At 40.5% G+C, this 24,113-nt stretch overlaps 1 protein-coding gene and 1 pseudogene across 5 annotated transcripts in view, besides 1 other annotated feature; both read left to right on the top strand.

Moving 5' to 3' along the window:
* NEK9 (NIMA related kinase 9) overlaps positions 1-24,113 on the top strand; it is a 47,850-nt gene that overhangs the window by 4,624 nt on the left and 19,113 nt on the right. For 3 of the 5 annotated variants that reach the window (XM_047431919.1, NM_001329238.2, NM_033116.6), the window contains exons 3-16: positions 1,405-1,460; positions 1,999-2,069; positions 3,644-3,749; positions 5,253-5,384; positions 8,266-8,376; positions 9,176-9,240; positions 12,208-12,258; positions 12,702-12,894; positions 15,092-15,236; positions 15,877-16,077; positions 16,583-16,629; positions 18,582-18,737; positions 20,814-20,922; positions 21,426-21,587. In XM_047431919.1, the coding sequence (XP_047287875.1) occupies positions 1,405-1,460; positions 1,999-2,069; positions 3,644-3,749; positions 5,253-5,384; positions 8,266-8,376; positions 9,176-9,240; positions 12,208-12,258; positions 12,702-12,894; positions 15,092-15,236; positions 15,877-16,077; positions 16,583-16,629; positions 18,582-18,737; positions 20,814-20,922; positions 21,426-21,587 (1,605 nt within the window). Of the gene's footprint in view, positions 1-1,404; positions 1,461-1,998; positions 2,070-3,643; positions 3,750-5,252; positions 5,385-8,265; positions 8,377-9,175; positions 9,241-12,207; positions 12,259-12,701; positions 12,895-15,091; positions 15,237-15,876; positions 16,114-16,582; positions 16,630-18,581; positions 18,738-20,813; positions 20,923-21,425; positions 21,588-24,113 lie in introns of all 5 variants that reach the window. The other 2 variants (XM_005268209.4, NM_001329237.2) reach the window with 1 other exon arrangement.
* HIF1AP1 (HIF1AP pseudogene 1) lies at positions 5,971-6,153 on the top strand (annotated as a pseudogene).
* Positions 23,318-23,515: a silencer, noted in NCBI's record as "fragment chr14:75565767-75565964 (GRCh37/hg19 assembly coordinates)". NCBI's record gives its function as "represses an EF-1alpha promoter that drives an FKBP-Casp9 reporter gene in an ReSE screen in K562 erythroleukemia cells {active_cell/tissue: K562}" and the evidence as "EXISTENCE:reporter gene assay evidence [ECO:0000049][PMID:32094911]".

Below are 24,113 nucleotides of genomic sequence, written 5' to 3'. Positions count from 1 at the left end.
GAGTGGAGATCATGCCACTGCAGCCTGGTGACAGAGCGAGACTCCATCTCAAAAAAAAAAAGTTTGTTGATAACAGTACCTACTTTCTAGGATTGTTGTATTACATGCATAGTGCTTGGTAGGTAGAAAGTGTTTGCTACATACTGTACTAGCTGTTAATCATCTTATTGCACAGGAGAACCTCCAAAGCCCTTTTCTGAACTGCATGCTAAAGAGGTCCCAGCATATTCGTCACTTACGACTTCCTTGTGTAAACTCTTGTATATTATGATCATTGGTGATCAATGCCATATACAAGATTCTGTTAAAAATTTTCGAAGTAGCAGAAGCCCTAGGTAGTTAACTTCTTTTGTGGTTAGGAAGAACTGGAACAAATGATACATTTATTGAAACTGAGTTATTAAGTTGCAGGGGAAAAGAAGTTGTAAAAACTTACCCAGGGCTAAAGTGTAAGTTATAGTTGCAGGTGGGATGTAAGATGAACCATGATTACTTGCAGTCTGTATTACTTGGTAAAGGAAAGAGAGAAGTAAATTCACACTTATTCCACAGGAAGAAATTAGTAAAGAGAGTAATGATAGGAAACAGTCTAGGGGTAGACCCTAAATTTTGGGAAATATTTCGGTGTGAAGTAGAAAATTTGTCAATATATACCCTATAAATACAAAACATTGCATCACAGGTGTAACCCAATTTTTTTCTTTTTTTCCTGAGATAGACTCTCACTGTCACCCAGCCTGGAGTGCAGTGGTGCGATCCCAGCTCACTGCAACCTCCGCCTCCCAGGCTCAGGCGATCCTCCCACGCTCAGGCGACCCTCCCACCTTAGCCTCCTGATTAGCTGGGACCACAGGCACATGCCCCAACAGCTGGCTAACTTTTTGTATTTTTGGTAGAGACAAGGGTTTTGCCGTGTTGCCCAGGCTGGTCTTAAATTCCCAAACCCAAATGATTTGCCCACCTCAGCCTCCCAAAGTGCTGGGATTATAGGCGTGAGCCAATGTGCCCAGCCTAATCCAGATGTTATAGTAGTCACAACTGGGAGAGTTGTTACAAAAATATTGTAGAGTCCTTAAAGGAGAGTTCTAGAAAAGAAATCTGATTTTGAATATACTTCACTTGTTGGGAACAACAAGAATGGTCTTTACTCACATCTTTTCTAAAAATGTCTTTTTTTTAATTACGCCTCTTGTGTTAGAGAGGGAGATCTTTGAAGAATATTTCTGATGCGGTCCTTGAGAGATGGGAAGAGTTTTGTGCCCATGTGAAAAGTCAAAAGAAGTAGTTGCCTATGGAGAGAAAGCAGAATCCTTCATTTCCTTGTGTCACCTAAAAAAACCTGTTACAGGAGCCAAGCTTTGATCTGTATTAAGCAATTCAAATCTGTGTCTTGTTTAATTGCAGGAGGGAACCTGTATGACAAAATCCTTCGTCAGAAGGACAAGTTGTTTGAGGAAGAGGTAATTCATATTTCTGTGGAAGGAAGTTAGAATTGTAGTGTTGTAATTCTTGCATTCTAGTTCTGTATTTACTCTTCCAATAGTGAAGAGTGTTTTTTTCCTTTTGTTCAGACTCCTTCCAGGCTCTGATATTCATGAGAAAGGAAACCTCTAACAAGGAAGCTGTCTATAGCTGCTTCCTAAACGTTTTACCTCCACATCATGATTCTCTGTGGGCTTTCTTTCCTGGTTCTATTACTGCGTACTGGTATGCCCAGTTTTCTATAACTTTGCATTCTTCCTGAATTTTCCTACATGTCTGCTTTACCATACTATATATTATAATGACATTGGAACTATTTTATGAGGAACCTGTTTTTTGTGGTTTTTTACCCCTTCACTTTTCTTTGCCTACTCAACCTGCAAGGAAGAGATGTCAAGTCATGTTGAATCATAACTTCTGGTTGCAGTTTTCTTTGTTTTGTTTGTTTATGTGTGTGTGTATTTACTTAAATGGAGCTTTTTGTTTCTAATCCAAATATTTATTTTTTCTCTGCAGATGGTGGTGTGGTACCTATTTCAGATTGTTTCAGCAGTGAGCTGCATCCATAAAGCTGGAATCCTTCATAGGTAAGAAGTAAAAAAAATTATGGATGGATTCTTCCCTACCAATTCAGCCCCTACCGTGGATACCCCCCCAACAACACTTTTATTTTCTTGGTTAAGCAGCCAAGAGTTTTTCCATTGATATCACTAGGAAAGGAAAGTAATGAGCAATATTATTTTCACTCCCTGAGGTTAAACCATGTTTATGATCTAGGAAGAGTCTCCTCAGTAGCCAAGTACTACTGAAGTCATTTTACAGACAAAAATTTTAGAGTTCAGTTTGTTAATTCATCAGTAAAGCCTAGAAGGGCACTATGAGAAGTAGTATTTGGTAAGAATTCACAGCAATAATAATTGGCAATTCTTTTTAATTCTATAATTAAGATCTTTTAATTTAAATAAAAGCCTCTTCACTCTGTATATTTACTTGTACAAATTTACCAGATCTTTAAAAACAAGCATGATTGCATTCATTTCTAGCTATAGAAGAGAAGCATCTCAATAACATTTTCACATCATTATGCCCTTCTTAAGTGAGTCATTGACTGGTGCCAGAGATTAATTATAATACACTAAGATTTCTTTTTTTATTGGTTTGTTCATTCAGTTAACATGTATTTCTTGATAGCTATTAAATGGCTTCTGTTGCATGTTGTTATTTTCTTTTTAAAAGTAACAAAGTATATTGTTCTGGTTTATTCGCATCTTTCAATAAAGGAAGACATAGTGAACCAGGCACAGTTATTTTGTTTTACATATGGTCAATTTATCTTTAGAAAAATAGCCTGTGATTTTATTTAGATGACTAAATGGCCTAATCATATCATTGCAGGGACATGTAGGCCTCTTCTCTTGCCTTAACAGATTATTTGAAACTTTGACACCAACCAAGTTTGTTAAAGTTGCCTTGATATCACTTAATTCAAGGCATAAGTGATAGTTGAAGAGGTGTGGTATCTTATGGGAATTATGGTTACCTAGAGCACCATTTTCCTCATCTGACCGTCTCAACTTTTCCTAATAGCTTCAGTAGTATGGGAGATATTTCTATGCTGTGAAGCCCTAGAGGATGAAGTTAATTCTCTGCCTTCACTCCTTTAAAGTCCCCACTTCAGTGTTAAATAGCATGTGAAAGTGATGACCACTGTGGGATGTTTAGGATATCCTAAATGAATGAGCAATGGTAACACTCTTTTTTTGTTTTATTTTGTTTTAGTTTTTGAGACAGGGTCTCACCCTGTTGCCCAGGCTGGAATGTAGTGGTGCAATCATGACTCACTGCAGCCTCAGCCTCCTGGGCTCAACTGATTCTCGGTGCTTTAACCTCCCGAGAAGCTAGGACTACAAGTGTATGCCACCACTCCTGACTAATTTATTTTTTGTAGAGATGGGGTCTCACCATGTTGCCCAGGCTGGTGAAGAACTCCTGGCCTCAAGCAGTACTCCTGCCTTGCCCTCCCAAAGTGCTGAGATTACAGATGTGAGCCACTGTACCCGGCCCACACTCATTTTTATTCTGTAATAATCCTGGGCAAGGCGGGGGATGAAATAAAACAATTATCTGTGTGAACTTAATTTGCAGCATCTTTTTTTTTCAGAGATATAAAGACATTAAATATTTTTCTGACCAAGGCAAACCTGATAAAACTTGGAGATTATGGCCTAGCAAAGAAACTTAATTCTGAGTATTCCATGGCTGAGACGGTATGTGTTGCCCTTGTCTTAATTTTTATTTTATTTTCTAGCACTGTGAAATATAACTGTACTCCCTAAATCTTGCATACTTTTCTCAATATTCTTGCAAGTTCTCCATACTTTTAATGCATGTCTTCAGAAGTCTTTTTCCTGGGCCCACTAGCAGGCATTTAAGTCATTGCCCACGTTACAGCTCTGACCTCATAGCCTTTTTCCAGCACTGATTAGGGACTTATCTAAAAGCAGCAAAATGCTTTACTGTTTTGTCCAGGTTAGGATCTTTAGTAGATTTCACTTTATCTCTTATTTAATGTTTGAGCTCAAGGTGTTAGACATCTCTTTGTTTTTCCTTTGAATGCTTCTGGTTCAAAGAGAACCCTATATTTCAAGTGAAGGCTGATGCTCAGAGAACAATCCATTCTTTAATATTATACACAGTCTGAACTGCACAGGGGTCCCTTCTCACATGATTTTGAGAAAGATCATTGGTAAAGAGTAGACATAAGTTGATCTTTAGGACAGTAATCTTATCCTTTTAGGAATTATAAAACCCAGTTGTTATTCTTCTAGTTTCACAATGCTCTGTCCTTAAAAGAAATTGAAAACTGATTTTGGCCAATAATTTTTTTTTTAATAATGTCAAGGTTTGCCTGCAAGCAATTTAGATGTTTAGGGTTTGGAGTCTCTGCTTCAGGGACTCAGATGTTTCTATGATGGAGGCCAAAGTGAGCTTCTGAAGAAGCAATCATATCTTTATATGGATTTTTCTCATCAAGAACAATCTGATAAAACCAAGACTTGACTTTTTTTAGCTAGTTAAATGCAAAGAAGGAATGATATGAAAATTTATAAAAGCCATGTAAGCCATCTGAAATTTGCTTTGCTTTGCTGCTTAAAGCTGACTATGAATTTTATTAGAGCTGCTAGGGCATTCATTATATCTCATCTTGGGAGAGGCATGACTTCTTAGGACATTTTTATTTCCAAATTTATTTTTGAAGTCAGAAAATCTTTTTCAAATTCAAAGGAAATTCGCTAGCTGTGTTAGTATAACAGATGCCAAATTGGGCATTTTAAAAGTTTCATTGCGCGTATTTTAGTTAGAACATCTAATTCCTTCATTGAGTTACCATCTCCCCACTGCCAGTGTTTGGATTTTTTTCCCATTGGTGAACTTCTACTAAGTATGTCTTTAAGTTTGTGTAAAGTCTTCAGTAGGCCTTGAATGCCTGAAGCCTCTGTGATCTAGGAATCACAGAGCTATTGAGCCCCTCAAGTTACCACAGTTCCTTTGTCACAGAGATTGTCCCTTTATAATTGACCCAAGAGGTTTGATATGAATAAGATTTCTTTCCATAGTGGCATCGTCTCATAAAAACCATTTTGGAATCTGCTGATGAATGTTTTATGGTTGTTATGACTAGTTCCTAGGAAATTTAATTAAGCTGTTGAAATGTTAACATAGTTACCTCAGAAAAGAAGTTATTCTTTGATTGTTTCTTTGTTGCTCAGCTTGTGGGAACCCCATATTACATGTCTCCAGAGCTCTGTCAAGGAGTAAAGTACAATTTCAAGTCTGATATCTGGGCAGTTGGCTGCGTCATTTTTGAACTGCTTACCTTAAAGAGGACGTTTGATGCTACAGTAAGTTGGCATATTATCCCCATATTGCATTTAGCAGGTTGCAAATGGTACAGCTTGACTAAGCAGATCAACTCTATTCCCAGGCTTCTGATTTCTGGCAAAAATAACCTGTATTCAGGTACAAGATTAGTAATCTATTACTAAAATGCTATAGACCCAGCCAGGCGCAGTGGCTCACGCCTGTAATCCCAGCATTTTGGGAGGCCGAGGTGGGTGGATCACTTGAGGTCACCCCGGCCAACATGGTGAAACCCCGTCTCCATTAGAAATACAAAACTCAGCCGGGTGTGGTGGCGCACACCTGTAATCCCAGCTATTTGAGAGGCTGAGGCACAAAAATTGCTTGAACCCAGGAGGTGGAGGTTGCAGTGAGCCAAGATCATGCCACTGCACTCCAGCCTGGGCAACAGAGCAAGACTCTGTCTCAAAAAAATCTCCAACTTGAATTCCCTGTTGAAATGATCACTTGAACCCGGGAAGTGGAGACTGCAGTAAGCCAAGATCGCACCACTGTACTCCAGCCTGGGCAACAGAGCAAGACCCTGTCTCAAAAAAAAATTAAAATTAAATTAAATTTAAAAGTTCATCTCTTAAAAGCAAAAAATGGAATATGATGGTTCACTTTTTCAAGCAGTAGGAATTGGAACATTATTAACAGCAGCCAGATGATCATGCAGCTACTGCATCACTTTCCTAGAAACGTGTAAAAGAATGCAAATCTAGTGAACAGAATGGAAGGGAGCAAAAGATAATTGTTTTATTTGGGTCTCACTCTGTTGCCCAGGCCTGGAGTGCAGTGTCGTGATCATAGCTCACTGCAGTCTCAAACTCCTGTGCTCCAGCAGTCATCCCGCCTCAGTCTCCTGAGTAGTTCGAACTACAGGCATGCCTCACCACACCTGGCTATTTTTTGTAGAGATGGGTTCTCACTATGTTACCCAAGCTTGTTTCAAAATCCTGGCCTCAAGTGATCCTCCTGCCTTGGCCTGTGCTAGGATTACAGGTATGAGCCCCCATGCCCAGCATATTTATGCCTTTTTCTAAATTGTTACTTCTTTGTGCCTTTATTCTATCTTGTAAACACTTCTGACATAGCACCAGTATCACTTTATTGTACTTACTTTTTTTATATAGCTGTGGTTTTGCCAGGTAGTCTAAAACCCTTCCAAATGTTTGCTTTATTTTCTGCAATACCTAACACATCGTGGGTGTTAAAAATATTCATTAACTAGGAAAAAAATGTTTATCTGTTAAAAAATAAATAAAGATTGTCATTGCTTTATGGACAATGAATCCCTTTAAGTCTTTTTTTCTTTTTTTAAGTAAATTAAAGTACAACCTGATATAAAGCAGTGCTTCTCAAACTTTAATATGCATACAAAATCATCTTGTTGAAATGCAGATTTTTTTGGGGGGTGGGGTTGATAGTCTGTGTTTCTAACAAGCTCCCAAGTGATGCTGATGCTGCTGGTCCATGGAGCACACTGAGGGGCTAAAGTGGATTCATATCCAGTTGCCTCTACCAACCAGGTGTGAGAATTTAGGCAAATCACTTCATCTCTTTGATCCTCTGTTTCATTATCTATAACATGGTAACAATATATATTCCCCACACGGAGATTCTCTCATAATGTATATGAAAAATGCAAATGTAAGATAATGCAAATTCATTGCCCTTTCATAAGACCTATTCATTTTTCTAAATCCTGAAGGTTGTTCTAGTATATCATCTAATTCTCCTAAATAGTATGGTGGAAGAAAAATGACTTGGAGTCAGAGGCTGGGCGCGGTGGCTCATGCCTGTGATCCCAGCACTTTGGGAGGCTGAGGCGGACAGATCACCTGAGGTCAGGAGTTCGAGACCAGCCTGGCCAACATGGTGAAACCCTGTCTCTACTAAAAAATACAAAAATTATCCAGGCATGGTGGCGCATGCCCGTAATCCCAGCTACTCAGGAGGCTGAGGCACAAGCATCACTTGAACCCAGGAGACAGAGGTTGTAGTGAGTGGAGATCGTGTCACTGCACTCCAGCCTGGGTGACAGAGTGAGACTCTGTCTTAAGAAATGTGTGTGTGTGTACGCACACACGTGTGCATATATGTACACACACGTGTATATATGTGCACACACGTGTGTGTACATGTACACATGCACATATACATATATACACATATATGTGTGTGTATATGTATGTGTGTATATATGTGTATATATGTATATGACTTGGAGTCAGGCTTTGGTTGGAATTATAGCTCCATTTTTACTATCTGTGATTTTGGGCAAGTTACTTTACATCTCTGAGCCCCATTTTTCTCATATATAAATTGATAATGATAATAATTTCCTTGAATGGTGTTAGTGAGGCTAAAAAATATCATATATGTAATGTGCCTGTCTAGTTTGTAGTAGTCTCTCAATAATGTGGTGGTGGTATTACCATAATATTGTTAGTATTATCATCTTATTATTATTACTGCCTTATCTGTTGCAGCAGAGTATTGCCTGTACAGCCACAATTAGGATATATAAATTAGGACGCAAGTTAGTTGGCAAGGGAACTACATGAAGCCAACAAGGATGGCTAATCTTGCTTTCCTTTTTCTTGGGATTCAGTTGAAAGGTCAGATTATAATATACTCTGAGCATCATATTATTGGCCACATAGTTATAGATTGTATGGCCAGTTGGCTTCATTCTGTCTGATAGCATCAGTGCATCCCTAACCATTTTTTTTTGATGCATACTAGTAGTTATAACAAGAAGTCAGACCTATTGCCAATTCTTTAAATAATGGTCACAGACACCTGAGAGCCCCTACCAGTAGAGTATAGCATCATCTTTATATAACCAGGAACAATGCAGTCATCATTTTCTCATAGAACCCACTTAACCTGTGTGTGAAGATCGTGCAAGGAATTCGGGCCATGGAAGTTGACTCTAGCCAGTACTCTTTGGAATTGATCCAAATGGTTCATTCGTGCCTTGACCAGGTAGGTGTGACTTAAACATTCACTTCAGTTTCGTATTTCCCCTTCCAGCCTCAGTGTTTGGTGTATGGCATAGCTATAAACCATACAAAACCACATCCACTTCCCCAGGGTAGAGTGTATTTGTGGCTATACCCAGAATAGGTATTGGTAATTCATTATAGTTGTGTGCTTCAGTGAACAAATTCTTACTTCATTCTGTTTTGTAAGTGTTAGTTTGTGAAATGAATTTCCCATCTAAATTGTGCTCGATTTTTTATGACCAAGAGTAATTTCTGAATATAGATTTCAAAAAACTGCAATGAAAGATAATTTACCACTTCTAATACAGAATGTCTGTATTTCTCATATCTCATGGTTCCCTTGCTGTGTAGTTCTAGTATTATTCAAAGTATGTTTCATGAAACACTGGAGTCAGAATCACCAGGGAATGGGGGAGTTTTGTAAGTAAAAAGAAGATTCCTGGGCCCCACCCCAGACGAACTCAATCAGAATCTCTGTGGATAAAGCCCAGAAATCTTTATTTGTAACAAACACCTCAGGTAATTCTTCTGTTCTGTATATATTGAGGTTCAAGAGCCACTGCCCTAACTGAACAAGTGAGGAAGATGCATTATAAACATTCTCCTTCATGTACAAGTGTTGATTATAATGAGGTGAGAAGCATAAAATATGGAGTATCACATAAGAAATGATTTTTAAAACAAAAGGATAATGCAGTGGTCTTTGACTAATTAACATCTTTAGATCCGATGTCGCCCATTTCCATTAAGTGAAAACTAACCCTATTTTTACTTTTTAGGATCCTGAGCAGAGACCTACTGCAGATGAACTTCTAGATCGCCCTCTTCTCAGGAAACGCAGGAGGTAAATTATGAAGAAGTCACTCCATTGTCTTTTCTGAGATAGTTGACTTTTAGAGGCTTGATCAGAGTACTAAAAGAAAGAGTAGTGTTTCCTGACTTGGTTGCAATAGTGCTATTTTCTACCAACATCCCTGCTTTTATTGCTTAGGGGTGGCATCTGACTTTTGCCTCCTTAGCCTGTGCTGTTTTGTTGTAAATTTGTACTAATGAGGCCCAAGAGCCCTTCACTCCCCAACCCATTGGTTTTAAACCTTAGAGTTGAGGCATTAGAGTGCAGTAAGGAAGAGGGGTGTCTGGACTCAGACATCCTTATGTTTGTATCTGAATTTTGTCATTATCTTTGTCAAGTTATTTAACATCGTTATTTCTTGGCTTTCTCCTCTATAAAGTAAGATGAGGTCAGGATTAAAGAAGATAACGCATAAAAAGTGGTCAGCCCAGGGCCTGGCATAGGGTGCCTATCAATTGTAGTGTGAGTTGGACTGGTCCTTTGGTTTTTTTGTTTTTTGTTTGTTTTCTGAGACAGAGTCTCACTCTGTCACCCAGGCTAGAGTGCAGTGGCACAGTCCTAGCTCACTGCAGCCTTGAACTTCTGCTGCAAGTGATTCTCACACCTCAGCCTCCCAGGTAGCTAGGACTACAGGTGTGCACCATCATGCCTGGCTAATTTTTCTATTTTTATAGAGACGGGGTCTCACTGTGTTGCCCAGGCTGATCTCAAAGCTGTTGCCTAAGCAATCCTCCTGCCTCAGCCTCCCAAAGTGTTGGGATTACAGGCATGAGACACTATGCCCAGCCTGAGCCTTTGTTTTTCACTGCATTTGTTTAGGTGGTAGGTTGGAGTTGGAGGAATCCTCTTCAGGTACATTTTGCCCATATTTGAAGTCGAGTTTTATTGACTCCTCAGAGGTTATTTCCTGAGATTATTCTGTCAGATATCTTTAGAGATAGGAAGAACATCCTTTATCCCTCTGTTCCTCTAGGAGGTTTCATACCTTAATTTAAAACATTTATCTTCGTTAAATATTTGAGTCTGTATTTCATCCTATTACACTATTTTTGCCTTGCTACGCTTCTTCCTCCACTACCAGTTTTTTGTTTTTATATCTTCCAAATATTCACATACAATGCTCTTTTCAAGTCTTGCTCTTGGATACATTCTGTACATCCCTAATTGCATATTTGCTGTTTCATCAGTACTTTTATTCTACTATGCCATTTAATTAATCTTTTCTGGTTCTTCTCTAGTTGGTCTGTAGCCAGTGTTTTAGTGCCTGAAATTATGTACAGTACTCCAGATACAGCACCATGACCTTCCATTTATGTTTTGTGCACGTGCAGGCAGTATCACCCTTTTGGTCTGGTGAAGCATATTTAAAATTTTTGTCTGGCTTATTTCACAGCAATATAATGATTTATTTTATTTTATTTTATTTACTTTTATTTACTTTATGAGAGTCTCACTCTGTTGCCCAGGCTGGAGTGCAGTGGCGTAGTCTCAGCTCACTGTAACCTCCACCTGCCAGGTTTAAGCAGTTCTCCTGCCTTAGCCTCTCGGGTAGCTGGGACTACAGGCAGGCGCCACCACGCCTGGCTAGTTTTTGTATTTTTAGTAGAGACAAGGTTTTACTACGTTGGCCAGGCTAGTCTCGAACTCCTGACCTCAGGTGATCTGCCTGCATCGGCCTCCCAAAGTACTGGGATTACAGGCATGAGCCACCACACACGGCATAATCACTATTTTAAGTCACTATTTTAATCTCTTATTTCTTGAGTGTAGGCATGAAATTTTTACTGAGATAATTATAGATTTGCCTGCAATACTTTGTTGGAACTTTGTACTTTGATGGAAAACATAAGACAGAGTTTTCCAGACAGAGAATATAGCATAAACAAAATCATAGACACAGGAAGTTGTGGAAAATATTCAGGAAACACAAAATTCTATTTGGCTAGATTAGTGGTTCTAGACCTGGGATTTTTGATGCAAAATATCAGGAGCTTTCAAAAAGTACTGATGCCTGAGCACTACTCTAGGAGCTCAGCTATAATTGATTTAGGTAGGATGACAGCCCTGGGCTAGAACGTGGGGTGCAAACAAAAGGAAGGAAGTCTGGAAAAATAGGTAGGAAATCTTGCATGCCAGGCCAAGAAAATTGTGGTTAATTCAAGAGGTAGTGCAAAAGATAGAGTGGGTATCACATCCACTGTTGAGAGATGGTGGATGTTTGCGAGAGGGCAGTTCACGTGATGAGAGGCATACCTAAGGAAGAGTTATTTGGCAATATTAGTATCTGTGTTAAATTAGTATAGTAAAATGATTAAGACTGTAGTAAGTGAGGCTGATTAGGAGGTATTATCACAGTACAGGTGGGAAGTAGAGCTACCCAGAACTAAGGTGGTGAGACTGGAAAGGAAGAGGTGAGTACAAAAAGTACTATATAGGTAGAATCTGTAGAACCTGAATATTAAAGAAAGGGAGAGAGATGAATCAGAGATGACTGAGGTTTTAAGCCCAGTTGACTGGGAGAATTGGGGAAGGGTGTTGCGGCTAGTTACAGAAATAGAGGAGTCAGAAAGAAAAGCTCATTTGGGAAAAAGCTAACAAGCTCATATTTGGAGATACTGAGTTTGGGAGTCAGTGGGCAGACTAGATGAAGGTGTCCATCAGATACTAAATATGTACATCAGAGGTTCTCAAGGCTCTCTGTTCCAGCCTGGACCATTTCTCAGAGACAGAAAGCAAATGGCCCCAAACTGCTGGCCTTTGGGTATTTAATGAATTGTCTAATGAAAGGACTATATAACTGTTTTGAGTTGTATTGAGGTACTTTGCTAAAAGTATTGTGATGTTGTAGGATGCATACAGTTTATAAGAGGATTAAATCTGTGAAATGTATTAAACAGACACCTTTGCAATATAAAAACCTATTATTTCACTCATGTATCTTTGCTTTTCTTTTGGTAGAGAGATGGAGGAAAAAGTCACTCTGCTTAATGCACCTACAAAGAGACCAAGGTAATGTTCAAGAGACTCTTAAAAACTAATATATCCGAAATTACAACCAGGGGGTTCTTTCTTGAGTGTAGGCATTATTTGATCCGAGGATACTTTGGCATCCTTTCAGGAGCCAGCATCTGCTTAAATGTCAGACAGTCATTTCTAAGAAGAAAGCTATAATTTCACCCTCACACTAAAGTGGCCATCATTACCATGATGAATGTGGAAAAGTGTAGGTGTTATGGGTCAGACTGGAATCTGATCTGGCCAAGCTGTGATGAAGCCCTGAGGCAGGAATTGCAAAGTCTGCTGTGATAGAGCACATTGAAACAAGTTGTCGAGAAAGAACATACTTTCTCATACCATAATTGGCAGTTCTTCTCAGGGAACAGACTGGAAGCATTTTTCTTTGATATTGTTTTTAATGTTAAATGTTCCTTTGTTCTGGGGGTTGTTGGCAGGTCAAGCACTGTGACTGAAGCACCCATTGCTGTAGTAACATCACGAACCAGTGAAGTCTATGTTTGGGGTGGTGGAAAATCCACCCCCCAGAAACTGGATGTTATCAAGAGTGGCTGTAGTGCCCGGCAGGTCTGTGCAGGGAATACCCACTTTGCTGTGGTCACAGTGGAGAAGGAACTGTACACTTGGGTGGTAAGTGAACGCTAAGCATTTTGGAACAGTGCTGTAAGCCTAATTGTTTACTGGGCCCACGATGTCTAAGCATTTTATTAGTTGAACCTATACTAAGGGAGTGGCAACATGGGGTGATGGAATGGAAGCTCTTATAAGAGCAGGGATTTTGTCTGTTTAGTTCACTGATGTATGCCCAGGGCTGGTACATATTAGGTCACCTATAAATGTTTTTTGAATGAATGAATGAGAGAGGGAGAGAAAAATTGAAAGACTCAGGAGACTGGGGTTTCCCATTTACAGCTGGATGATTTCAGACAAGTCACTCAATTACTCTGTTATATTACCATGAGGTTCAGAGCAACTATTACCTGTGAAATAGCTTTGTAAACAAAGGAAGGACTATACCATGTCAGGAAACCCCTGAAGCCCACAGCAGTGATTGAAGATGGCTAGGTATATTTTGTGTAGAATTTGTTTGTTGCCCTCTAGATTCTCCCCTCTCACCTTCCTTAACAAATTGTCTGTGTTTGCTGTCTGTTTCCTTATCTCCCACTCTCTCTTCATTCACCTACAATGCAGCTTCCATCTCTGCCACTGCCACTCAATTGAAACTAGTCTTGACAAAATGACCCATAAATTGCTAAAATAAAACAGATGCTTTTTAGTCCTTACCTAGCTTGACCTCTCGGCAGCATTTGACATAGTTGACCACTCCCTCCTTCTTGAAGCTTTGTCTTTACTTGCCTTCTGTGATAGCATGTTCTCTTGGCTTTCCTCCTGTCTCTTGCTATGCGTTCTCAGGCTCATTTCAGGCTGCTGGAGAGAAATTAGTATCTTAAACATTTATTGGCTGGGCGTAGTGGCTCACAACTGAAGTCTCAGCACTTCGGGAGGCCAAGGCGAGTGGATTGTTTGAGGCCAGGAGTTTGAGACCAGCCTGGCAAACATGACAAAACCCCATCTCTACTAAAAATACAAAAGTTAGCTGAGAGTGGTGGCGCATGCCTGTGATTCCAGCTACTCAGGAGGCTGAGGCATGAGAATCACTTGAGCCTGGGAGGTGGAGATTGCAATGAACCAAGATTGCACCACTGCACTGCAGCCTGAGTGACAGAGCAAGACCTTGTCTCAAAAAAAAAAATATATATATATACTGTCACACACACACACACACACACACACACACACGCACACGCACACACATATATATATAAAATATGAGGACTTGTAGTATACTCATTTAATAGAATTATTTTTCTCTATAAAACTGTTGAAAAGGCCAGACATGGTGGCTTACACCTGTAATCTCAAAACTTTGGGAGGCCGAGGCGAGTGGATCACCTGAGGTCAGGAGTTCGAGACCAGCCTGGCCAACATGGCAAAACCCCATCTTTACTAAACATACAAAAAATTAGCCAGGCGTGGTGGCGGGCACCTGTAATCCCTGCTACTTGGGAGGCTGAGGCAGGAGAATCGCTTGAACCCAGGAGGCAGAGCTTGCAGTGAGCTGAGATCGAGCCACTGCGCTCCAGCCTGGGTGACAAGAGCGAAACTCTGTCTCAAAAAAAAAAAAAAAAGTTGAAAAGTCATCAAGGACTAGTCTCATTGCTGTATAGCAGCCTCTTTGATGTAGCCAGATTCTTTATAACTCTTCCATGTTTCAGGGAAACTGTGACCAAAATTTATGAAACTTCTAGTACAGATTTTCAAGAAGCTATATTCCTGTAGAAAGCAACAAAGTTAGACTATATTATAAAGAATTTTTTTCACCATCACCTGTAATTAAATATATAGTTTACCTTAGACTTGAAGGACAAAGATTAGATTAATGGATATTAATCTGGATACTTTTTAAGTTTTCTTTACCTGTTGGCAGGATCTGTATACTACTTGCTATTAAAATGTTTAATCCCTTTGCCCATTTTTTTCTAATTTCTAAATTTCTAGCTCTTTTTTTCTACTGTTTTTCTTCATATGAAGTTCCATTAAAGATCAGCTTTTGGCATGAAAAATTAAAACTTCATAAGACCTCTCAGCCGGGGATGGTGGTTCATGTCTACAATCCCAGCACTTTGGGAAGCCGAGGCAGGAGGATCACTTGAGCCCAGGAGTTCAAGACCAGCTTGGGCAACATAGCGAGAACCCATCTCTTTAAAATTTAAGTTTAATAAAATGTAATTAAAAAAAAAAGTCATAAGACCTCTTTATTTCACAGAACATGCAAGGAGGCACTAAACTCCATGGTCAGCTGGGCCATGGAGACAAAGCCTCCTATCGACAGCCAAAGCATGTGGAAAAGTTGCAAGGCAAAGCTATCCGTCAGGTGTCATGTGGTGATGATTTCACTGTCTGTGTGACTGGTAAGCCATCAGCAGAAAGTGTCTTAAGTGCATTTAATGTGGGGGTATTTTGCTTAATGCTGTGCAATCTTAGTTGGGATTTTAAAACAAAAGACAGTATACAAAGAACCAGAGGACCTTGAGCAAATATACTCATTAATAATAACATACCAAATTTGCTATAGTATTAGGGGGTGGTGAGCAAGGAGAAGACAGGTGGGTAACAGAGAAGAGGTGGGATCAGGAGAAAATGTGTGTCGTGGTTGGCAGGAAAAATAATCTTACCACCTCATCAGGCTATGAATAACACAAAATTAGGATCAAGACCTAAGTTTAGTTTTGGTCTTGTCATTACTTAGTTAATGATTCCTTGGGACTTATTTTTTTATCTATATAACAAAGATGGCCCCATTAAAATTTTAAGTCCTTTTAATGTGATAATGCTACCACTTTTTAAATTGTTTAATATAGTAGTAGTAGTACACATGACTCTCTGACATAGAACTCTAGACTTGCACAGTCTGTCCTTTTAATTTCTTGGATATAATCAATTCATGTGAGATCATTTGCTGGGGTAGTCCTCATTCCAGCCCTGCCCAACTTTCTGATTAGATAAAATAAGTCAGTCCTTTGATGGATTCTGTTTTCCTTTCTTTTGCAGATGAGGGTCAGCTCTATGCCTTCGGATCAGATTATTATGGCTGCATGGGGGTGGACAAAGTTGCTGGCCCTGAAGTGCTAGAACCCATGCAGCTGAACTTCTTCCTCAGCAATCCAGTGGAGCAGGTCTCCTGTGGAGATAATCATGTGGTGGTTCTGACACGAAACAAGGAAGTCTATTCTTGGGGCTGTGGCGAATATGGTAGGGGTAGCCTTGTCTCTGTCCACTTCTTCACAGGTATACAACCTGACTTCAAAGTTGTATGCATCTAAACCCATCATGCAGCCCCTAAATGAGAAGTGTTAATTCAGTAAATCTTTTTTTTTTTTTTTTTTTTTTTTCTCGAGACAGAGTCTCTCTCTGTCACCCAGGCTGGAGTGCAATGGCATGATCTGGGCTCATTGCAACCACCACCTCCCGAGTTCGAGTGATTCTCCTGCCTCAGCCTCCCGAGTAGCTGGGATTACAGGCACACACCATCACACCCAGCTAATTTTTTGTATTTTTAGTAGAGATGGGGTTTCACCACACTGGCCAGGCTTGTCTCGCTCGAACTTCTGACCTCATGATCCACCTGCCTCGGCCTCCCAAAGTGCTGGGATTACAGGTGTGAGCCACCGCACCTGGCAAAAGAGAATCTTACAGAACCTATTCACTGGGAAGGAAGCCCTCATTATAATGATTTTCATTCTTATGTGTGTTTCAGGACGACTGGGTTTGGATTCAGAAGAGGATTATTATACACCACAAAAGGTAAAATCAGAAGCAACTTATTTCTAAAACCTATCTTAAGTCGCACAGACTCCAATAATATGTCCTCTTTCCTTGGCTCTGTTGTATCAAGGTATTTATTTCCGAAGTGTTTCCTGTTTGGGAGACTGACAATTTAGGATTCCTGATTTAGCACCCTGTGGTCTTGTCATCTGACCAAATCACAGAAAATTGAGAAAGTGGATACAGCGACTGTGGACATTGTGAAGTCACATCTTACTCAGGGATGACAGCTAAAATCAGCGTGTACAGCAGAAAAGTCACATATAGCTACAAATACCCTGGAAAACTCGAGAAGATACTGTAAAGCAGTATACTGTCTCTTAACCCAACACAGCCATTTTCCTCTCCTGTTTCTACAGTTGACCACCAGATGAAATATTAATAGTTGTTTTTGTTTAGCGGTCATGTTGCATGAAACATATTATCTAATTACTCTCAGCCTTGCCAGAGCTGGCCCTGTGAGAGGCTCACAGAGGCTGATACCAGCTGGGGGAAAAGCACAGTCACATCTCTCCCACCTACCCTAGGGCACAGGCTTACCCATTGGAGGGTTGGCTAAATCAGCTATACCATTTATTGTTAGCAGTGTTTTGGGTTTTCTGTTTTCTTTTTTTTTTTTCTTTCCTTGGGAACTTTTAGCCAAACCAGTTTTTATTTATATTTTAAAAATTAAATTATTATGCATTTCTAGGGACCATCCTCAATGGGATTCCCAGCTGTTCCTTTTCTCCTGGAAAGGCTGTGGCAGAAACTGAGGGTTGAGGTTTCAGGTTTTACACACATCCATTGTGACCCCACACATGCATCACCCCACCTTCTCCAGTCCTGTCTAGTTAGCTGTAAAAAGATATGAGCATTTGGAAGTCCTAGATATTACCTCAGTACTCTGTCACCTCTCCTATAAAATGACCAGATTGGGACCCCACAGGGCTACTGAATTTCTGTAACTGTCAAGCAGCCTTCCATCTCAAAGGACAAAATCAGCAATGAATTGAAGCTTCTTTCTCAACTTTTTGACAGGTCACCCTAAGTAGGACCTATTACTAAGACAAACTGAGAGGGTGCTGTCTTGTTTAGTTGACCTGGAACTGTCACCTTTTCTTTGATATTGTAAAACTTGAGCTCTTCGTTGACAACAGTAGCCTTGACCGAGCACAATGGCTCACGCCTGTAATCCCAGCACTTTGGGAGGCCGAGGCGGGCAAATCACTTGAGGTCAGGAGTTCGAGACCAGCCTGGCCAACATGGTGAAACCCTGTCTCTACTAAAAACACAAAAATTAACTGGGCATGGTGGCACACGCCTTTAATCCCAGCTACTCAAGAGGCTGAGGCAGGAGAATCGCTTTGAACCTGGGAGGCAGAGGTTGCAGTGTGCTGAGATCATACCACTGCATTCCAGCCTGGGCGACAGAGCAAGACTCCACCTCAAAAAAAAAAAGAAGAAAAGAAAATAGTAGTCTCAGCCAGGCGTGATGGCTCACACCTGTAATCCCAGCACTTTGGGAGGCCAAGGTGGGTAGATCACCTGAGGTCAGGAGTTCGAGACCAGCCTGGCCTACGTGGCAAAACCTCATCTCTAATAAAAATACAAAAATTAGCTGGGCGTGGTGGCATGCACCTGTCATCCCAGCTATTTGGGAGGCTGAGACAGGAGAAGTCGCTTGAACCTGGGAGGCAGAGATTGCGGTGAGCTAAGATCGCACGACTTCACTCCAGCCTGGGCAAAAGAGGGAAACTCTATCTCAAAAAAAAAAAAAAAGAAAAAGTAGTCTCTAAGACACTGGGCAAACCTGAAAAGAATAGAGCAGTCCTCACTTTCCTGTAGTCATTCTGCTAAATGCAGCATGTCTCTTTTGAAAGAATTTGAGAGCTTTTTTTCTAATACGAATTATATATTTGGGATTTCTTTTTCTGATTTTTTTCTTGCAGGTGGATGTTCCCAAGGCCTTGATTATTGTTGCAGTTCAATGTGGCTGTGATGGGACATTTCTGTTGACCCAGTCAGGCAAAGTGCTGGCCTGTGGACTCAATGAATTCAATAAGCTGGGTCTGAATCAGTGCATGTCGGGAATTATCAACCATGAAGTGAGTGTCCTGATTGGTGTTCTAACCACATCATCAGAATTTCTCTAGGTTGGAATTTCTTTGAGATGCCATTATTGGTTAGTGACCATGGAATTTGACTTTAGTTATGGTCTCATAGGCATTGTGTGCAGAAAAAGAAGCCAGCCACAAAGAGTACATGCTATATAGCTCTATCTGTGTAAAATTTAAGAACAGGCAAAATTAACTTATACTGGCAGAAATCAAAACTGTGGCTACTTATTGAAGGAGGGGTATTAACAGAAGAGGTGGAAGGGATCCTAGAGTAATGGGAATGGTCTATATCTTGATCTGTAATGGTTTTACCAGTATATGTATATAGAAAAATGTGTCAAGCTGTGTGATATTTTGCAGTGTGTTATACTTCAACAAATAAATTGATTACAAAGAATAAAATGATGAAATTCAGCTTTTACCTTATTGAAATAGGAACAAGCAAATTAATGTTATAAAAAAAAACATATTTCCATGCATCACCTTCCTGGAGTTTTTTTGATTGATTGGAGTTTTTTAGATTTCTCCCAAATCACTGATCCTGTTTAGGCTTATCGAATGTAATTACCATTCTGTCTTCAAAAATGTTAGCAAATTCACCACTGATATTGTCTTAGTTTCCTTTTTTTTTTTTTTATTATACTTTTAAGTTCTAGGGTACATGTGCACAACGTGCAGGTTTGTTACATATGTATACATACGCCATGTTGGTGTGCTGTACCCATTAACTCGTCATTTACATTAGGTATATCGCCTAATGCTATCCCTCCCCCCTTCCCCCACCCTATGACAGGCCCCGGTGTGTGATGTTCCCCTTCCTGTGTCCAGGTGTTCTCATTGTTCAATTCCCACCTATGAGTGAGAACATGCGGTGTTTGATTTTTTGTCCTTGCAATAGTTTACTGAGAATGATGGTTTCCAGATTCATCCATATCCCTACAAAGGACATGAACTCATCCTTTTTTATGGCTGCGTCTTAGTTTCCTTTTTGTGTTAATATAATGAGTTTTGTCATTTTCCAAAGAATAAAATTAAGAGACAGAAGTTTTCTGACTCAATGAAAAAGGTAAGAATTAATTTTTAAGCAATCTCTAAAGTAGTGATTTTCAATTAGGAGAGTACAAATTCAGGGCAAGGCTGGAGAGAGTGTCTTTGTAGTTTGAAAAGAAATATTCAGTTGCCGGGCACGGTGGCTCACGCCTGTAATCCCGGAACTTTGGGAGGCTGAGGCGGGCGGATCACGAGGTCATGAGATCAAGACCATCCTGGCTAACACGGTGAAACCCTGTCTCCACTAAAAATACCAAAAAAAAAAACAGCCAGGTGTGGTGGCGGGCACCGGTAGTCCCAGCTACTTGGGAGGCTGAGGCAGGAGAATGGCGTGAACCTGGGAGGCGGGGCTTGCAGTGAGCCGAGACCGCGCCACTGCACTCCAGCCTGGGCGACAAAGCAAGACTCCGTCTCAAAACAAAACAAAATAAAAAAACAAAAAAAACAATATTCAGAATTACTATTACTTGATTTATGTTTTCATTATAGCAGTGGATTTGTTGTGAAATTTTAAACTTAAATGAGAGGATTCTTTTTTAATACTAATTCAAAGGGAACATGAGTTTTAATTAAGTTGAGAAACACTACCCTATAGATGAAATTAGATCACAGTAAGCTGATTCCTTTATGGGCTGGAGACAGTCCTCAGGACTTTAATTCTTTGCCCTGCCCTTGTTAGATATGCAGAGTGTATAACCAAGGTAAATGTCAACGATTCTCTCCTTATATAAATACCTTCTGGGATGGAAAGTTCATGTTTTATAAACCCTAAGTCAGAATCTAAAACTTTGGTTGTCAGAAAGTTCTGCCTCATGTGCTGCATTCTCTGATTACATATTCAGCTTATTTCCTCTTGTTTTCTGTTGGAGATGGAAAACTACCTGGCACCCTCTTCTTAGTAATATAACTTACTTGAAAGGCCTTTTGGTCACCAGGACTTTTTTCCATTCTCAGCCTGATTTTCCTTCGATTTTCTTACCTCATGCATCTGCTTTGTGTTTTATTTTGTTTCAGGCATACCATGAAGTTCCCTACACAACGTCCTTTACCTTGGCCAAACAGTTGTCCTTTTATAAGATCCGTACCATTGCCCCAGGCAAGACTCACACAGCTGCTATTGATGGTAAGTTGATTTACAACTGTATCACATGCCTTAGTAGCTGAGCCTCTTTTATTCTATCAGGTATTAGGTTTTCTTTATATGTATATCATCCCGATTTCCCCTGAAAATCTAGTATTATTTCATTAATGTATTCAGGTACATATTTTTATTGATAATTATTATAAATGCATAATAAATACATCCTTTTATGAGAACACCACACCTATGATTCCAGACATCTGTTGTCTCTGATTAGCACCTTTTATAAGTATTCTAAGGTAGTACTCATTTTTCTCACTACAAATACAGTACTGGAGAGAGAATACAATATCGAGTCGCTGACTGGATCTAATTGGTTATAGTGCCTAGATACTGTATTTGTCCTAGGTCCAGGATCATGTGGCTAGTTTTATATTTGTATATTCTAACAACCGGAAGCTAATCCATGAAGTCTGCTTGGCTGCATCTTCTCTGGGTTCCAGGACTCATTTGTGCCTTGTTATTTCTTTTTGCTTCTCTCTCAGAGCGAGGCCGGCTGCTGACCTTTGGCTGCAACAAGTGTGGGCAGCTGGGCGTTGGGAACTACAAGAAGCGTCTGGGAATCAACCTGTTGGGGGGACCCCTTGGTGGGAAGCAAGTGATCAGGGTCTCCTGCGGTGATGAGTTTACCATTGCTGCCACTGATGGTGAGTCTGTACATATCATTTCAAGCTTTCTGGACACATGGCTGTGTTTCAGTTCTTGGCTGGGAAAGAAATGGACTAGTTATTTGTATAGCTGAATTGTGGATGTACTTTTTTATTTGTATTAAATTGGTGGCCGGTTATATATATTGAGCTTTATTAACTTTTCATGTGTTCAACATAGTGATTGTTTTTAAAGGCCAGATTTCTAGATAATGATAGGTTAATGTTCTACATTCCTCCTTTTTTCATTTCAGCTTTCACTTTTTTGGTAAAATGTTATAAGAATTATTAAGTACTTCTATATAACTTGCCCAGTATCTTGTTGATTGATTTCAGTAAACATTGATTGGGTAGCTGGAGAGAACAGCATATTTTCTCTGTTGGCTGGGGTCACCTGTACTGCAGTGATGTCCATAGGGACTGCTAAGGTTTGAAGGGCTGCTTTCCGCTATATTATGTATCTCTCAGATTTCTGAGTTGGTCTAATTGATTTTTCTCCTCTCTTTTCTCTGAGACGATTTTTTTGTTTGTTTGTTTTGTTTTTTGAAACAGAGTTTCGCTCTTGTTGCCCAGGCTGGAGTGCAATGGCGCAATCTCGGCTCATCACAGCCTCTGCCTCCCAGGTTCAAGCGATTCTCCTGCCTCAGCCTCCCGAGTAGCTGGGATTACAGGCATGCGCCACCATACTCGGCTAATTTCTGTATTTTTAGTAGAGACGGGGTTTCTTTATGTTGGTCAGCTGGTCTCGAACTCCCAACCTCAGGTGATCCGCTTGCCTCGGCCTCCCAAAGTGCTGAGATTACAGGCGTGAGCCATTGTGCCTGGCCTTTTTTTTTTTTTTTTTTTTTTTTTTTTTTTTTTTTGAGATGGAGTCTTGCTCTATTGCCCAGCCTAGAGTACAATGGCGCGATCTTGGCTCACTGCAACCTCCACCTCCCGGGTTCAAGTGATTCTTGTGCCTCAGCCTCCTGAGTAGCTGGAACTACAGGCACAAACCACCACGTCCAGCTAATTTTTGTATTTTTAGTACAGACAGGGTTTCACCATGTTAGCCAGGCTGGTCTCGAACTCCTGACCTCGTGATCTGCCCACCTCGGCCTGCCAGAGTGCTGGGATTACAGGTGTGAGCCACTGCACCTGGTCCTCTGTGGCTATTTCTTTCCGCAGTATTGTCTGGTTCCTCACTCCTCTTCTTTTTTTTTTTTTTTTGAGACACAATCTCACTGTTGTCGCCCAGGCTGGAGTGCAGTGGCGCGATCTCAGCTCACTGCAACTACCGCCTCCCAGGTTCAAGCGATTCTCCTGCCTTAGCCTCCTGAGTAGCTGGGATTACAGGCACTCGCCACCATGCCCAGCTAATTTTTGTATTTTTAGTAGAGATGGGGTTTTGCCCTGTTAGCCAGACTGGTCTTGAACTCCTGACCTCAGATGATCCACCCGCCTTGGCCTCCGAAAGTGCTGGGATTATAGGCGTGAGCCACCACTCCTGGTCACTCCTTCTCTTCTGTACTGCTGCTGTTGCTATCCTACATTCCCTTCCTTCTTTGCTTGCTTTTTTCCTCTTTTTTCTTTTTCCTGTGTCATCATCTGAACTTCTAAATTTTTGTAGCCACTTTTTTCACTTGACTGGTAACAACTCACATTTCATTTTCTCTCTTTTTCTTTTTGAGACAGAGTCTCGCTCTGTCACCCAGGCTGGAGTACAGTGGTATGATCTCGGCTCAGTGCAGCCTCCACCTCCCGGGTTCAAGTGCTTCTCCTGCCTCAGCCTCCCAAGTAGCTGGAATTACAGGCGTGTGCCACCATGCCCAGCCAATACATTTAATCTTCTTATCTTTTGACTCATCAACTTTTTTGTTGTTGCTTGTGCTCTGAGATATCCTTGTTTTCTTTTGGTCCATGCCTGTTCTGTACTCATGAGGGGTCTCAGGGATATTGTGATCTGTTACCATATTTAAATAAACCAGCATTCAGAACAGCACATTAACTCTCTCTGCTTGTCCCAAAATAAGGGACTTTAAGGAGCAAACTGTTTAGGTCAGACTTGGATAAATGGAAACGTTACACAGGACAGTCAGGATGTCACTGAAGATAAATTTAGTGCAGCAACTGCAGTAGCACTTTCTGACAGGGCTTCAGAGAGCTCATGTTTCTTGAATAGATCTGTGTAGTTCATGACTTTAACTTCAGAATGAGGAATGTAAATTTGGATTCTGTGGCTGGGCATATTACCTCTTGATGTTCCTATACTCCTCTGAACTGTACTTGATGGCCTCATTCATGTCCAAGTCCTCTTTTAGGCTCTAGGAATATAGAAATGAGTCTCAGAAAACTCCTGCTTTCAAGGAGCTCACACTCTAGTAGAATAGGGGACTAGCACAGGCAGGTGTTAGGTGCTATAATAGCAGCAGCCTAGTCTTCTAAGTCCTGGAGTACCCCAAGGCTCACTTGTCTCTCCAAAGTGAGCTTGTTCCCTTAAATTCCCCCTATACATTGACTGCTTTATATCACCAGGCTTGACCTTCA

The sequence above is a fragment of the Homo sapiens genome, chromosome 14, assembly GCF_000001405.40.
Source record: "Homo sapiens chromosome 14, GRCh38.p14 Primary Assembly".
Taxonomy (NCBI): Eukaryota; Metazoa; Chordata; class Mammalia; order Primates; family Hominidae; genus Homo; species Homo sapiens.
The sequence above is the reverse complement of the archived record's forward strand: the minus strand, read 5'-3'. Positions and strand labels throughout refer to the sequence as shown.